This window comes from Homo sapiens, chromosome 6, assembly GCF_000001405.40.
Source record: "Homo sapiens chromosome 6, GRCh38.p14 Primary Assembly".
NCBI lineage: Eukaryota > Metazoa > Chordata > Mammalia > Primates > Hominidae > Homo > Homo sapiens.
In genome coordinates this window covers 90,357,814-90,374,834 of record NC_000006.12, presented here as the reverse complement: position 1 = coordinate 90,374,834, position 17,021 = coordinate 90,357,814, and the positions used below count along the sequence as shown (strand labels likewise).

The 17,021-nt window shown below is 39.0% G+C and overlaps 2 annotated features.

Moving 5' to 3' along the window:
* Positions 4,769-5,968: an enhancer, noted in NCBI's record as "BRD4-independent group 4 enhancer chr6:91078586-91079785 (GRCh37/hg19 assembly coordinates)". NCBI's record gives its function as "activates an origin of replication core promoter dependent on BRD2, P300/CBP, MED14 and CDK7 cofactors, and independent of BRD4, by STARR-seq in HCT116 cells {active_cell/tissue: HCT116}" and the evidence as "EXISTENCE:reporter gene assay evidence [ECO:0000049][PMID:35650434]".
* Positions 15,029-15,229: a silencer, noted in NCBI's record as "peak5961 fragment used in MPRA reporter construct". NCBI's record gives its function as "represses an SCP1 promoter by STARR-seq MPRAs in K562 erythroleukemia cells {active_cell/tissue: K562}" and the evidence as "EXISTENCE:reporter gene assay evidence [ECO:0000049][PMID:32103011]".

Below are 17,021 nucleotides of genomic sequence, written 5' to 3'. Positions count from 1 at the left end.
TAGACAATTTACAATCACAGTTAGAGATTTTACTCCCCTCCCATAGCAATTGACAGAAAAACTAGACAAAATATCTGTAAAGATGTAGAGGATCTGAATAACACTATTAATAAATATCAGCTGCTATAATTTTCTCTTTCGTTTGATTCACATCTTCAGACATCTGCAAAGCTGCCAGTTCTGGCCCTCTAGACTCTGTGAGGAAGCCACTAAGGCCACTGTCCCTTCAGGAGACACAAACACATGGATGGCATCATGCTGCAGGAGACTTTCAGAGCTTAGTCTATGGAGAAAATGCTGAATGGTGCAAGGCTGCATCTTTTTTCCTCCTGAACCTGTTTCATATGAATCGATTCTAGGATCACCAGTCTGTCCCCACAGTCATCCTGCCATCTGCTAGGCTTGGTAGCTGTTGCCGGAACACTTAGGATCCTTCCCTAAGATGTCTAGAGTGTCGTCACAACAGATGTTTAACCATCAAATTCCACACATGTTGCCTAGGGCAAGTCTTCCATATGAGGACAATGCTGGAGGTCATGTGGGATTTAAGAATCTTTGAAAGTGTCCATAGCAAACGAATTTATTATATTTTGGCTCTGTCTTTTAGGTGAATTCTAAACAAATATAGCCCTCATTTATCTTTATATCCTTTACCAACTACTCTGATCTAATTGAAGTTTGTCTTTGAAGGAAAAAAATAATTGACAAAAAGTTCGTCCTTTTGAAGAGTGTGAAAGATGAGGTTTCTCTTTAGAAATCTTTTCTACCAAGGGCTGTGTAGCTACATTGCAGTATTAGAGCCTCTGGGGAATTATATGTGTGATACAATGGCCTTCTTATCCCAGGTGAATTGGGCAAAGGCTTCCCCAAATAACTTATTTTTCATTCACTTGAGACACATAAAGTTTCAGTTAAAGGATATGCACACAGAGAATTTCACATTTCCAAGTTTTGTGGCTTCTGTATGTTGGCATCTCTAACCACCATCAATCCCCTTTCCAGAAATTCCACTCATCCCAGCAGCCGTTACCAGGCTGAGGCCACAATGGAGGGCAAAAGCTAGGGGGTATGAATGTGGGCCATTAGAGGGGCCTTTGCAAAGGTTCTCTTTAAGATCCATAATTTAAATGGATACCTTTTGTCCATTCAGGCACAGATGGGGATAACAAAAGATCATGGCATTAATGAGGTAGAAAAGCCATTTCTGAATTGCGAGGGCTCTAGTCTCAGGATGGCCTCCTAACACAGCAGCACTCCCAAGAAAGAAGTGCCTACTACATTTCAAACCCTTCAACTTTAATCTCGTCGACAATTTTCATGTTTTCTCCTTAAAAAGCATTATGAGCATACACCTCCCAAATGACAGTACCAAAACCTAGTCAGCTACAGAAAGCTTGGCCATTGATAAGATATATTTCCCCTTCAAGAACTTGTTCACCTGGACTCTTCCTCCATGGATATACCATTAAAAATATACAATTCTAATATTCTCCACTTCTTTAAGAGAGTATTATACTTTACTGACCAAAAGGAGAATCCAGATGAGTATTATGTTTTACTGACCAAAAGGAGAATCTAGATCATCCCATGATTAATCTTTTCAATGCTCTGGAAAGGCAAATAGGTGGCAGGCACAAGGGGAAAGTGCTTACATGAACACATTTTTTACTGGAACTTGTCCTATTGCAAAGCTCTTCTGCCAGATTCCATTAGGAAATTGCAAGCAGATTCATATATCCAAGTGCTCCTCTCTCTCCTACTCATAAATATATAGACATCATATGGCAGGGAGGGGGGATGAAGCTGATTCTCTCATGGCATACCCTTGCACAGCAGACGTGTAGGCAAATGCAAATACCGAACATAGTAGTTCATGCATATGTGCACATGAATATATATCATGCTATTACTACTCATCAATGAGATTCCAAGTAGCTACCAGAGGGGAGAGAAAAGTCACAATCAATATAGCAGTACTTCAGAATGTCAATTAAAGACAGCGATAAGAAGACAGGCAGGCTGCCCCCAGCAATACAAAAATAACAGGAACACCTAATGATTGATTAGGGGCTGGGCCAAATTTCAGGTCTGAACTCATCACAAATTATGCTACGAGCTCATGGGGGAAGGTTCCAATTGGCATTTTTGAGCCACACGTCCCATTCCTTTGATACAGACATCAGGACTGTCTGGGAGATGATTGGAGAAAAAGCCCAAACAAGAAACGAATTCAGGAAGAGCTGTTTCCCATCCAAATGCTTTCAACTTTCCTGAGAACTCTCTCAGATTCTTTAAAACGGGCCAATAGTATTATTCCACTTTACCATTCTGGTTCTTATTGAAGGGCAAAGCCAGCATGCAGAAAGATAAGGAATAGCAAATGAAAATGTCAGTGGGCAGGTAGGAAGGTTGTAACACGGGAGAGTCTTCCATCTGGAATTGTGGATGAAAAAAAAACTATTTTTAAAGGAATACCTTTTAAGATTTTTTTCCATATTCTTCCAGGAACACTTAGGTCTTGTCCTTTTATAAACAAAGACCTACATTTAATTATAGGCATATTGTATGAAATAAAAATGTATAGAACTTCTAGACTCCAAAATATATAGCAGTGGTTCCAGTTTTCATTACCAGAAATAGCTAAAGGAAATGAAAAGCAGGTGAGAGAAGGTTTCCCTGAGCAAGGCCAGGGCTTCATTTTAATTCAGCTGCGTGGATGGCCTGCCATTGCCCCCTGGCCTCACTGCTCGCACACTCAGAGGTCAAGCTATTAAAATCAACCAAAATGCTCAAATTAATTTCTTTTAGACCCCAGCCCTATAATGCTTGCCAACAAAAGAACACTTCACTGACTTCTGGCAGGAGCGGCACTAAATCTCTGCAGTAGGAAATACAGTTTCTTCTTAGATGACACAAAATGTTTGGGACATAAGCTTTGGGGATCTCAGAATTAAAGAGAACATAAAATTATATTTGGGTGGGTGATAGAAATCTAAAATTAGTTCCGTATTTCTTCTATTGGTAAATTAAATTTTAATGGAATATGGTATAATGTGGCTTGTCGATATTAGCAATTGTTTATATCATGTTAATATCTGATAATGTCCCTTGTGACTACTGCTTGGAGAAAAGGAAAAGTGAAGTGGATCTGAAGATGTACCTTTTTTCCTTCTTATAAATAACCCTCATTTGCTTTTTTTATGTTCTTTAAGCAGCCCTTTTAATTCTTTGAAAATTTAGAATTGCCCAAGGATTAAAAAAGAAGTCGTTAGCATCTGCTTTGAATATATATACCAGAGATTAATGCCCACAGAGAAAATATAAGGAATAGCATATTCATTGGACAGGATTCTATTTGAAGTGCCTGTTGTAGGACAGTCCTTTCTTCATTTGCAGCCCTGCTCTGGCACTATCATTAATGGTGATTTCAGTAGAGAAAAAGGATCAGGAAATGGGTTTAAGCCCTGGTTCTGCGACTTATTGGTCGCTAACCTTTGACAAGTCACTTAACCTCTATAGAACTTAATTTCCCTATCTGTAAAATGAGGGATTGAACTAGATGATTTCCAAGGTCATTTTCTGCTATAACATTTTATGATTCTAAGTATCTGGCCCTCTTGGAAAAAGCATATATGGGCTGTGCTTATATGAATTTAGTATACTTCACACTCTAATGAGCTAAAAAGACCTTAAAGTGACAAATGATTATAACTAACAATAAAAGGATAAACATGATGTTAATGAATGAGTTTGCTCAAAATTCATCTTCTTGTAAGAAACATTAGCACAATATTGGTTTATAGCTATAGTAAACTTTAGAACCCAGGCCCTAGCAAAAGAAGTCCCCAAAAAGAGAGATCAGAATCTTACCTTTAGTGCTTAAACTCACTTGCTCCAGTGATCTCACACAGTGAATGTCCCAAGAATGCTGACTCTCCCTTACTAAGCCTCTAATCCAACCAGGAGAAAGGCAATAACTTCATACATGGATGTGCAAAGCTCATGGATGGATAGAAATGAGTCCCTATTAAAGGAATGAGTTCTTACATCAGCTGATCAATTATACCTTCAAGGCCAATATGCTCTTCTTTTGTAGCTGGAGTCAGAGATAAAGAGCTTCAGTCCACAAGGCTGACACCTCCCTAGTACCCAGAACTAACCCAGAACTCCATTTCCTGTGGAGCCATCCTTTCTGCTCATCTTATTCTTTGACTTCAGTGACTCAAGTGAACCTTTATTGCCTAGGTTCATTCTGATTCACACGAGGAACTTTTAAATGTTGTAAACAGCACAGATAGAGATATGTACACTGCACTCACAGGGGTGTGGGTATACATAGCTGTGCTCAACCACGTGCATGCTCCCTTTACAAGGATTGATGTCAAAAAGAAAAACAAGCTCTTTGAGCAACCTCAAAAGCTAAACTGAGTCTTAAAATTTTAGATACCAAATTTACCTTCTAGTCCAACAATTTTGTTAAAATTTCATGTTTTGCACTGTTAATGATGGCATGCTTGTGTGGCATTTGCATTCATAAATGCAAATGTATTTACATGGCATTATACCCAGATGATTAATAAATTGTTTGGTTAACTACTTTGTTTTAGGCTAGTGAGTCTCTATTATTTTTAAATAGTTACTCCTTCTAATATGAAATATATTCAAACTTTTTTAAAACTGAAATTTTCTTCTGGACTTAAAAAAGAGACTAACATTGATTAGCACAAAATTTCAAATGGATCCACTAGTTTTGTAATAAATTAGCTCTGGCTGATATGGAGAAGGCGATGGGTTGAATTCTGTCCCCCTCCTGTCCATTCTTATGTTGGAGTCCTAACTGCCAGGACCTCAGAAATGTGACCTTATTTGGAAATAGGAGCATTGCAGGTACAATTAGTTAACATGAGGCCATACTGGAGCAGAGTGGGCCCCTCATCCAATGTGACTGGTTTCTTCTAAAAGGAGGAAATTTGGAGACAGAGACACACAGGGAGAACGCCATGTGGAGGTGAAGATAAAGAACACAACGGTGCTTCTACAAGCCAAGGAATGCCAAGGACCTCCAGCAAACCACCAAGAAGCTCAGGGGGAGGCACAGAACGAATTCTTTCTCACAGACCTCAGAAGGAACCAACGCTGCTGACGCCTGGATCTCAGACTTCCAGCCTCCAGAACTGCCAGGGAATACATTTCTGTTGTTTAAGCCATTCAGTTTGTAGTATTTTGTTATGGCAGCCCCCAGGAAACTAATACAATAACTAAATTTGGAAACTTTCTCTTGGCTTTTTTTTTTTAATTATCAAGAACAAGTGCCTCTAACAATTTGTATAAGTCTGACTTGTTCATCCTACTAACTACAAACATGCACACATATGACCACGTCCAAACACAGAGATAAGTATCTGGACTCAGTCTCACTGAGCGTAGTTGCTGGGAATGCCCTGGAGAGCATGCTGTAATAGTGGGCGTCAACAAGGATGGTGTTTTCTTACTCTCAGTCTTGAATTAGTAAAAGACGAAGAAAAAAAGCACACTTGCGTATTCGCTGGTGTAGGCCCAGTCATGATTCTTTTAAAGACGCTGCCAATAGATTTTAGTCATTCTCTGGCCAAGGTTTCTCTTCAACCGCAAACACTACATAGTTGCTGAATGAGTCACCACCTTGAGTCATCTAATTCCTTGACCAGTACATGCCTGCTGCTGACAGCACACAGTGTCTCTGGTTGTGTATTTTGTTTTGCTCCCGTCTCTGGATCTTCTTTAATACTTTCTCAAGGGCAGGGTTAAAGATTCACTGTGAATCCTTAGAGGATGAATCTCACTTACTTAGTGGCATGTGCACTGGCTGGTCATCAAGAACCAAGACATTAAGTTTTATTAAGCTTTCTCATACCTGGATCTCAACCTTATGTGGTCTTATTACTGAAAAAAAAAAAACAGTAAATGTAAGCTGAAAATATTTTTCCCCCTTCAAACTGTAAACCTATGCTCAAAAATTCAGGGGAAAACAAAAGGAAAGAAGAATGATGTTCCCAGGAAGGATGCCAGTGGAGCACAGCCCACTAAAACAAATAAACCTCAGAGCTTATTTTTGCATGACTTTTAAAAAGTGTGGCTTAAAGATATTTTCTCTATCAACATAACCACAAGATTCTTTGTTCTTGAATAGGAAAATATTTTATTCTTCAAGGTTGGTAGACTGAAGCATTTTGAATATTTGTAACTTTCTTTGTAATTTCTATCACTTACCTAATTTTTATTTTTCCATGAATGGGTACTTATATTATGGAAATAGAAATTAGAAAAATGGAAAAAAAAGTTCTTTTAATTCATTTCAACTATGCTGCCCTAGCTCCTAACTTTACCAAATACAGGGAGGAGAAAGATACATCTTAAGTTTCTACCTTAAATGGATAGGCTTCCATAAGCTGAAGAATGACTGTTCAAAGGTATTATTCATAACATATATTTGCATGGCAATACACAATTCTCACAAAACCCAATTCATCCTAAAAACGACCCCAAGAACCATATTGAGGAAACAGAAGTCCTCAGGTTATATGGAAGGTGGTGGGGCCAAGGACTCTTGGCTCAGTGCTCTTTGTTCTCCAGCCTGCTAAGGCAAATTGCCCTGGACAGGAGGCACAGCCATCTGCCACGGAGAATACTATAGTTAACTCTCCATCAGACTCCTCTCTGCCTAAGGACAGCAAAGCAAGCCACAAAACGTCTCTGTGCTTCTGTTTCCTCATCTGCAAAATCAGAATAATGTCACCAACCCTAAAAAGATAAGGTGAGAGTAAAATTAAACAAGGCCAGTGAAAGAAAGTTAATAAACCATAACGTGTTGTACACATTTTATACAAATCCCTTCTTAGAAGTTATGTCACAACAGAACACAAATAGCCAAAGCAATCTGAAGAAAAAAAAAAAAGTGAGAGGCATCACACTTCCTGATTTCAAATTATGTTAAAAAGCTATAGTAATCAAAACATGTGGACACATAAACCAATGGAACGGAAGCCTAACCATATATAGTGAGAACAATTTTCAACAAGGCCACCAAAAGGTTGCAATGGGGAAATGTTGGTCTTTTCCATAAATGGTGCTGGGAAAACTGGATCTTCACATGCCAAAGAATGCAACTGGATCCTTATCTTACACCATATGCAAAAAAATCAATTCAAAATTAAAGACCTAAACATAAGCCCTGATACCATAAAACTCCTAGAAGAAAGTGTAGGAGGAAAGCTCCTTGAGATTGGCCTTGGCAATGAGTTTTGGATATCATAACAAAAGCTCAGGCAACAAAAGCAACAATGAACAACTGAGACTACATCAGACTAAAAAGCTTCTGCACAGTGAACAATTGGCAAAATGAAAAGACAGCCTACAGATTTAGGAGAAAATATTTGCCAACCATACATCTGATAAGGCATTGATAATTAAAATATAGAGGGAACTCACATGACTCAATAGCAAAAAAAAAAAAAAAACCAAATTTAAAAATGGGCAAAGGAGCTGAATATATATGAATATATATGCATATATGTATGCATACATATATACGTATATATGAATATATACGTATATATGTATGCATACATATATGTATATATAGAGAGGTATAGATATATATATAGAGGTGTATATATATATATATACTTTATACATATACGATATATATATTATATATCTCTCTCACAATTTCTTCTTTAAGAAGAAGGTATATATATATACACCTCTCTCTATATATATGTACATATAGAGAACATATATGAATATATATAGAGAGAGAGGTATAGATACACATATATATAGAGAGAGGTGTATATATAGAGAGAGGTATGTATAGGTATAAGTGGAACTTATACATATATAAAAACACAATTTCTTCTTTATCCATTCATATATATATATGAGAGAGGGAGAGAGAGAGAGTGCCTATTGAAGGAATGAGTTCTTATATCGGCTGGTTGTGTGTGTGTATATATATATATGTTGTATATATATATGTGTATATATATGTGTGTGTATATATATAGTGTGTGTGTGTATATATCTATATCTATATATATATATATATATATATAGAGAGAGAGAGAGAGAGAGAGAGAGAGAGGGAGAGAGAATGGAATATTATTCAGCCCTGAAATGTAGGATATTCTACCATTTGTGACAACATGGATGAACCTGGAGGACATTATGCTAAGTGAAGTAAGCCAAACACAAAGAGAAAAATACTACATGATCTCACTTACATGTGGAATCTAAAAAAAAGTGAAATACGTATAAACAGAGTGAATAGGGGTCACTGGGTGCATAGAGGGGCGAAGGAGGAATTGGGGAAATGTGGACCAAAATGTAGGCCAAAGGGTGCAAAGTTGTTGTTACATAGGATGAATAAGTCTAGAGATCTAATATGCGGCATGAGAACTATAATTAGTAATATTGCATTGAATATGAAAAATGTGCTAAAAGTTTAGATTTTAGATGCTCTTACCATTAAAAAGGTAACAATGTCAGGTGAAAGATATGTAAATTAGCTTGACTGTAGATATGATTTTACTATGTATATGTATTTCAAAATATCATGTTATATTCCTTAAATGTATACAATGTAAAAGAAGCTCTATTACAGAATGAAGAACGGCACTCATTTGGTGTTTGACCTTAGGCAAATTTCTTAATATTTCTAAGGCTTCATTTCCTTATCAGTAAAATGAGGATAATACTAGAACCTTGCCGATAAGACTGTTGTTGAAGAGTAAAGGAGATAAGCCATGCCTAGCACTTAGCACTGATTAGCGGATGGACATCGCAAGTCCTCAGTAAATCTTGGCTATCATTAGGAAAGCCATCCACATTTGATCCCAGCCCTTTACCGGCTCAGACAAGTAAAAGCAGATGAACGAAGCCCAGAGGGACTCCATATTGCAATCCTATCTGTCCAGGCTCTTTGCTCCAGTGGCAGTTTCAACACTATACTCTCAAAAAACATTTTTGGAAAAGTTCCACTTATACCTTGTTTTGCAAAGTTAACATCCCAGGTCCACAGCAAACATTCAGCCACTGAACATGGGTCACTGTCCGTTTAGCTCTACTGCACTGGATTGCAGGGCTTGGTTGGAAAATATTTACACCCAACCTGACACCAATATCCAAGGAATAAAACTGACCTACTCTACACCTCCATATTCCTCCTAAAAGAGGAACAGAGTGACAATACTACTTCAAAAGATATTTGGCAGTCACAGAACCAAGTTTTATGAACATACGCAAGATTAAATCATCTTATGTACTAACTAGGAAAAGCCAACTCAAGTTGTCAGGGAATAAAGGAATGTAAAAACCAGCAAAATACCTGACATATCATTGGCACTTAAGACAAGCAGGGATGGAAGAGAAGAGTAACATGGAGTATTTCTGATTGGATTTGTGTCTGATCATAGCTTTGAAGAATGTTTTAAAAGGAAAAGGAGAATAAACACCAGCACAAGCTAATCTTAAAATCTCACCAGTCTCTGGCTATGTACACTACCTCTTAATTTAATCAGGTAACTACATTTTTCTGTAACTTAGATCATCTGAATATACATCTTTTCGTATTGCCGGAGGGTGAGATGAATTACACAAAGCAACACACACATGAATGGAAACTGTTTACCTGTCTTAAGGTATGGCTTCAGCATCCGGGCCAGTTCCTCAGGATTGCTTTCAGATAATGTTAAAACCCTGAGAGGCCTCAGTGACTTTTAGAGAGGAGAGGAATGTCAGCTTGGAATGGTAACCACAGATGGATGCATCCTGAAACGCTGGCGTTCTCTTGTTTCCTTACCGTTCCAGAAGCAAATCTGTTAATCTTTCTCAAACATTTTATTTTCCTTAATTATTTCCTCTGGGAGGTCCTAAAGGATCTATTATTCAGATCCTGGACTTCTTACCCTGTCTGCCTTGTTTTTTCAGAATTTAAAAAATTTGAGCATGTGACTTGCTGTTGAATGGGGACCTGATTCATTCAATGAACGTCCATTAAGTGCCTGCTGCTTCAAAGGCATCATACAGGGCAGTGTGGTGGATACTGTAAACCCCCATTCATCCGCAAACACTATTGAGGACCAACTATATATCCACCACTAAAGAGGTGCATTTGAATAAAGCCCAACCCTTGTGCTCCGATTTATAGACTATAGACGAGTGAGGGAGGTAGGCTATACTTGTGTTGTAGGAATTACAATGCAATGTGATAACTGCAGAACAACAGACTTGTGAGGTTCCCCCCTTTGCTGACCCCTCCCACTGAAATGTGAGAACAGATGTGGTGGCAATGCCAGAGCACCCCCAGAGAAGCCGGTCACAGGCCTCCAGCAGCAGTTCATCATCACTCAGCCACGATGGAAATATAAGCCAAGCACTAGAGCCCCTCATCCTCCCACACTCCCACAGAGCTCTTTGGGGTGTTTTTCTTTCTTTCTTATAAAAACTATAGAATTTTCATTTGTCTCTGGGAAGGAAAGCCTTTCTCTGGGGCCCCTCGTTCTTCCCCTCATTCTCTTTCTAGTCTCGTTTTTCTTTTTTCTCATGTCTGTTGGTGTCTCTGATGTCCTTCTCCTCCACGGTTCTGACACCACCATCCTCTCATCATGCTGCCCCCCACCCCTAAATGACACCATGTAAACTGCCAAGTCCTGACTACACAAAAGTATTTCTTTTGCAGTGTGCTGTATATTAAACATTTAAAAGGTTTGACACTACAATATTTACATTTAGCATTTTTAATTGAAAGCAAAAATCTACAGATAAAATCCATCTTCTATTAAGACTATTAAATAATGATCTAAAAAAAAAAACCCAGAAAGAGTTTTTCCTTCATGAATCTGATTCAAATGAAAGCCCTGGAGAAAAGAAAATTGTCTAATTGTGAGCACTTCCTCCCTGTCTCAGGATGTGTACATTTCTGGAAAAATCGAGAAATGAAGAGTTATGTATGAGATGAGCTAAGCCAAGGGTGGGCATCCTTTTTTGTGGCATCTCCGTTGGATGCTGTGGCTTTGGGGTGCTTTGTCTCTCACTGGGTGAGACAAGAATGCCATTGTTGCTTTCACCACAGTTCTGGGAATGAAGAATAGCAATGTTCTTTATTTTTACATCTTGGTATAATCTCTTTATTGAAGGCCTACATTTCAGAAGTTCTCAATTTGAAATGTGGATCTTGGAAAACCCTACCTAGTAATCAGGAAGAAATCCAGGGGCTACATAGGAGATGGAGCCATGCTCCCAGCTGCACTGCTGTGTGGATGCTCTGACCCGGGGCATGAGGCTTGGGGACCGGGGCATGAGGCCCGGGGACCGGGGGTCCAACGCCATGGCTCCAGTGCTGGGAGGTAAGAGCAGAGGCTCTGGAATGTGACTGACTGCAGGTCAATCTTGGCTTTATCACTTTCTAATGTGACTTTGAGATACCGCCTTAACTTCTCTTTGCCTCAGTTTCCTCCCTGTGAAACAGGGGAGATAATAGAGCCTGCCTCATGGCATCCTCGTGAGAGGTGAATGCATTCGTATTTATAGAGTTCTTAGAGCTGTGTTCGCATGTGGTAAGCACTTGTGTACACACTATTATGATTCCCAAGACTCCAGGGGAAATCCAGTTAATGGCAGAATGGTCTTCTTTTTCTGGACATAAACCATGAATTCCTGGCATTTAATACACTTAAATCTCAAGTCCCAGAATTCCAGATCCTGAAGACAGGTTTTTAATAAGGCGCCATTTCATCATAATACCGTAACAAACAGCAAAACAGACGTAACAACGCAATATATAGGATGCTGCGGAGCCGTTTCAAGGCAAAAACAGTAATCGACCAACAGTATTAAGGTTGTGACATTGCCCTTGTGAGACATGCCTTTTAGGATTTGGGTGTGTTTGTGCTTCAGAAAATGGCACCTTTGAGACAGACAGACTTTTTCCTCAGATTCCCGGGTTCAGAGAAACCCACAGTTCACCAAGGCAGTTTGCTCAACTCTAATTAGGAATCTGATTGCTGGTTGGCCTTGCACAAAGGACTTTTAATTAGGGCTGAGAACGCTTAGAAAAATCCACTTGGCAAGTCGACTCCCTCCCTCTATCTCTTTTTTAACATCTTGCCAAGATCATAAGGAAAGGGAGAGCTTAATTACAGTTGGTGTATATATCTTTAAGAAAAAAAATACATTAAGTGCTTTAAAATAGGCTCTCTTGGCTCTGTGATCACAAGGATTTTACTCACTTCTTATCCCTGATTGGTCTCATTCTCAGTTACAGATGAATCAGACACATTTTGAGCAGCTTTAAGATTTGCTTTTCATCCGAAGCCAAGTAGGCAAATGGCAGTGAATTCACAAGCTTTTCCAAATGATCTCATAGGTTCCTCTGGCTCCACTTTGGGGGCCGTTTGCACTCTGCAATGCTGTTATCTTAAACACTCCCTGCCTGTTTGTGTCCAAGGAGAGGCCACGGTGTAGGACAAGGCAAGGCACTTCACTTTTTAAAAGACAAGTTTGAGCCTCTTTCTTTTTTTTTATTATTATTATTTTTGAGATGTAGTCTCGCTCTGTCGCCCAGGCTGGAGTGCAGTGGCACGATCTCAGCTCACTGCAACGTCCGCCTCCTGAGTTCAAGCAATTCTCTGCTTCAGCCTCCCGAGTAGCTGGGATTGCAGGTGCCCACCACCACACCCAGCTAATTTTTTGGGGTTTTTAGTAGAGATGGGGTTTCACCATCTTGGCCAGGCTGGTCTTGAACTCCCGACGTCGTGATCCACCCGCCTCGGCCTCCCAAAGTGCTGGGATTACAGGCGTGAGCCACTGTGCCTGGCCAAGTTTGAGCCTCTTAACATGTGCATATGGTAGCTGTGAATCAAAAAAGAATAATAAAAAGAGCACATGAAAAACCTTGAGCCAGAAAGGTGAGCCTGGAGGAGGTGGGGGTGGAAATACAGCCTTGGAGATGGATGCTGTCCTTAAATCCTTCACGAGAGCATCGTCATCTCTCAATGCCTTGTCCACCCTCTCATTAAGTCTCCCAGCCTGAAAACAGGTGACCCACGCTCCTTTTCAATCCATTTAAACCTGGCCCCAGCAGCCAGTGGCTTTTTAATTATTTATATGAAATACCTGATACTACGTGAAGCAGCGAAACCCAGTATAATGTATGCTCAGGACGACTCTGTGAAGCTCAAAACAGCCACTCTGATACACAAGATTTTTCCGACTGAAGTTTGCTTCTTACCATTCCTTTCGTCTCTGACTTTTTTTCATGTCTTTGTGCCTTGGTGCTAAGGATCCCTTTCATCTAATCTCAGGAACCTGAAGCTCTGCTATTGAATTACATTTCTTCACTTACTATTTATGTTTGATGCAAAAATAAGAAAGCGGGTAGAACCAGAAGATGCTGTCACTTACTTCAGAAAGGGATATGTCGATCATTCTTGAGCTTCATCCAGCTCTTTCACACTTTCTAAATGTGATGCTTCTGTGCACTCTTGAGTTTGGCTTTGTGGGATTATCTTAAAATTCAGGCACACCCTCCCTGTTGAGTTTGAGACACTCGTGGTCAATAGGAATTTTAGTCTTCTGCCTTTTGACTGACTACTGGGTGAGGGGTGTAGGAGGCAGGCTGCTTTGAAATGTTCCCCACCACCTGGGAATATCTGACGGCTGTAGAAGGCTTTCCTATGCAAACGTCTTTCTAAGGTCACTCTGATTCTGCAGTAGCAGCTGCCACAAATACATTTAATTATCTTTACAGTGAATGTCATTGGGCTAAAACCCCTTAATGTCAAAGAAAATATTGGAAAGAGAACAGCTTTCCCATTCAAGACAGGTGAATTTCCAAGATATTTGGCTGATTTATTACACCATACGTATGTCTCTCCTTTACATTGTTTTTACCCTGTCGTAAGAGAGACCAGACATTTATTTGTCATTGTTAGGTCCTTATGCTATTAAAAATAATCAGGTTTATTAGTTACCTTCTTTCCCAGCTGCCAAGAATGCTCTCCAGAATTTCGTGTTAGCTCTTCTGATGAGCTGGAGAAGGAAATATCATTACCCTTGTTTTACAGATGGAGAAATCTGAAGGCCCTGGAGACTGTTTTGCCTAAAGGTGAAAGTGTTTTAATCCTAGACTTTATTTTTATCTCTTCAATTTTCTTCCTGGGGGTAGTAATGAGCTTGGAGGATTCATAAGGACTAAACCTTGTCTGAAGACTTGTTTATAAAATTATTTCAATAAAATCCACAATCAGATTGGCTGGGGCAGGTCTTCAAACCAAGTGGCTTCCCTAATGAGCACACTCATCAAGGTGGCAAAAATCTCATTCCCAGCCAGCTTCTCCCACACTCTGTCAAGGCAGAGGATGGGGGCTGGTGGAAATTTATTAGTAATAAAGACCAAAGCCCTAGGAGCTTTTACACTTGAAGAAAGGAGGTTTCTTTTTCATTTGTTTAATTATTTAAAAAGTTAGGTTGGAAAATGTTTGGGGAGCAGCTAATAATGTGACTTCAGAGAGGGATGGCTTGGGCACATCCTACTCATTAGCTCCAGAGGCCACTTAAAGTTGGACTTTCCTCAGTTTAGTTGCTGTCTCCTCATTTCCCTTCCTTTTAGTTGTGCTATTTTTCCCTCTGACTTCTCCCTGCCTCCCCGACTCAACTCACACACTTATTTACAGGAAAGACTGAATTTTAAATCAAAAGGAATCTAGAAGGAGAAGTTTTATGCTTCAGAGCCCAGGGTTTTTGTATACGCATGTATATCCTGGTACTATATGTAACATAAATACATTGGTAATTTACAACAGGTCAACAGCATTGAATACATAAGGCCAAAATGTGGCCCATTGTGTGACTATGTTGTTAGGAGGCTCCATCACTCAAAGGTGGGAAGGTGCATCTCAGTTCTAAAGATCCAGCATTGCGTGCGCGCGCGCACACACACACACACACACACACACACACACCACCCTCCCCCAGGTTGGCTTAGTTGTCCCTGTGTCTCTGCTGAAATGGGAAGAAGGCTGAAGAGAGTAGGCATCATCATTGACTGCCTTGTGTAATGGAAGCTCAGCAAGTCAGGACTGTTATATAGACTTTCTACTTACTACTTGAAAACTGCATTTGGCACAGATGGACAGTTGTAATTCATTTCCATCCTATTTTTGTTATTTTCAATAACATTTACTGTTTTCTGATAAAATTTCTGATTTGCAAATGATAAAGCAATATATGCTCATTGCCAAGAACAAAAGAAAACAGAACAAAAAGTATTGAGAAGAAAATTACATTATCCATAATTACCCCACTCAGAAAATAAATGTTAACATTTGGTTTAGACCCTTCCCATCATAAAAGACACTTTTTTCCATTTAGGATTAGTATGTATATACAGTTCAGATCCTACTTTTCCATTTCACATTACTTCTTGAGCATTCTCCCATGTCATTGTCTTTGAAAATATGATTTTTACCAACTTAAATTCCATAGTATGATATGATATGATTTATGTACCCATCTCTCTAATGTTGGGTATTTAGGTTGTTCTACTTTTTAGTTATCATAAAGAATTCTGTAATGCACATCCCTTTACAGCAATATTTGCCCACAACTCTATTTTTGGAGGAATAGATTTTTCAAATAGAATGAATGAGTCAAAGCCTGCTAACATTGTAATAACTCTTAGTATCTGTTTTCAAAAAGCATTCTACCAATGTATATCCCAATAACTATATTTGACAGTATCCATCAAACTGAATCTTTATACCACAGTAAATTTTTTTAAATCTTGCTAATTGGATATATATTTACATCAGTAAATGATATCTTACGGACGTTAATTTGTATGTCTGTGATAACTAGCTATTTTTAACAGTTTCATTGAGGTAAAATTTACATACCATAAAAATCACCCAGCTTAAGTATACGATTCTAAGATTTTTTGGAAATTTATAGAGTTGTATAACCATCACTAATTTTAGAATGATTTGCAGAAATTCTAATTTTAGAAAGGTTCCTAGTATCCCCCTCCACCTCTACTCCAAATCCTGTCCCTGTGTAGCCACTGATCTGCTTTCTGACTCTGTAAGTTTGTCTTTTCTGGACATTTCATAGAAATGGAATAGAATGTAGTATTTTGTTTCTGGCTTTTTCACATAGCATAATATTTTTGAGGTTTATTCATGTTTTATCATGCTGTAAAAGCTTGTATCCATATTTAAGTCATTTTTTAGGGTTGAATAGTATTCCTTAGTATGGCCGTATTGCGTTTTTATTTTATTTTATTTTATTTTGAGATGGAGTTTCCCTCTTGTCGCCCAGGCTGGAGTGCAATGACGCGATCTCTGCTCACTGCAACCTCCACCTCCTGGGTTCAAGCAATTCTCCAGCCTCAGCCTCACGAGTAGTTGGGATTACAGGCATGTGCCACCATGCCCGGCTAATTTTTGTATTTTCAGTAGAGGCAGGGTTTCACCATGTTGGTCAGGCTGGTCTCGAACTCCTGACCTCAGGTGATCCACCCACCTTGGCCTCCCAAAGTGCTGGGATTATAGGCGTGAGCCACTGCGCCTGGCCTGCATTGCATTTTTATCTTATCAACAGGTGATGGACATTTGGATTGTTTCCAGTTTGGGTCCATTATTCATCCTGCTACTATGACTTCGTGTTTTCACATGTTTGCATTTCTCTTGGTAGAGTCCCAGGGGTGGAATTGCTGATTCATCTAGTTTTTAAAATGTCCATCAACTAACTTGTGAATAGATAAACAAAATTTGTTAAATTTTAAATTTCACTTATTTTCTTGAATGGTTTCTATAACATATTAAATCATACATTTTCTGAAATTTTGAAGAATTTTTTAGCAAGCCAGCTGGACCCAGAAAGCTTTTGAAAGGAGATATTTTGATGATTTCATAATTTCCTTCTCAAGGTTATTGGCATGTGTGTGTGTGAGAGTGTGTGTGTAAAACTTACTTTGTTTATATATT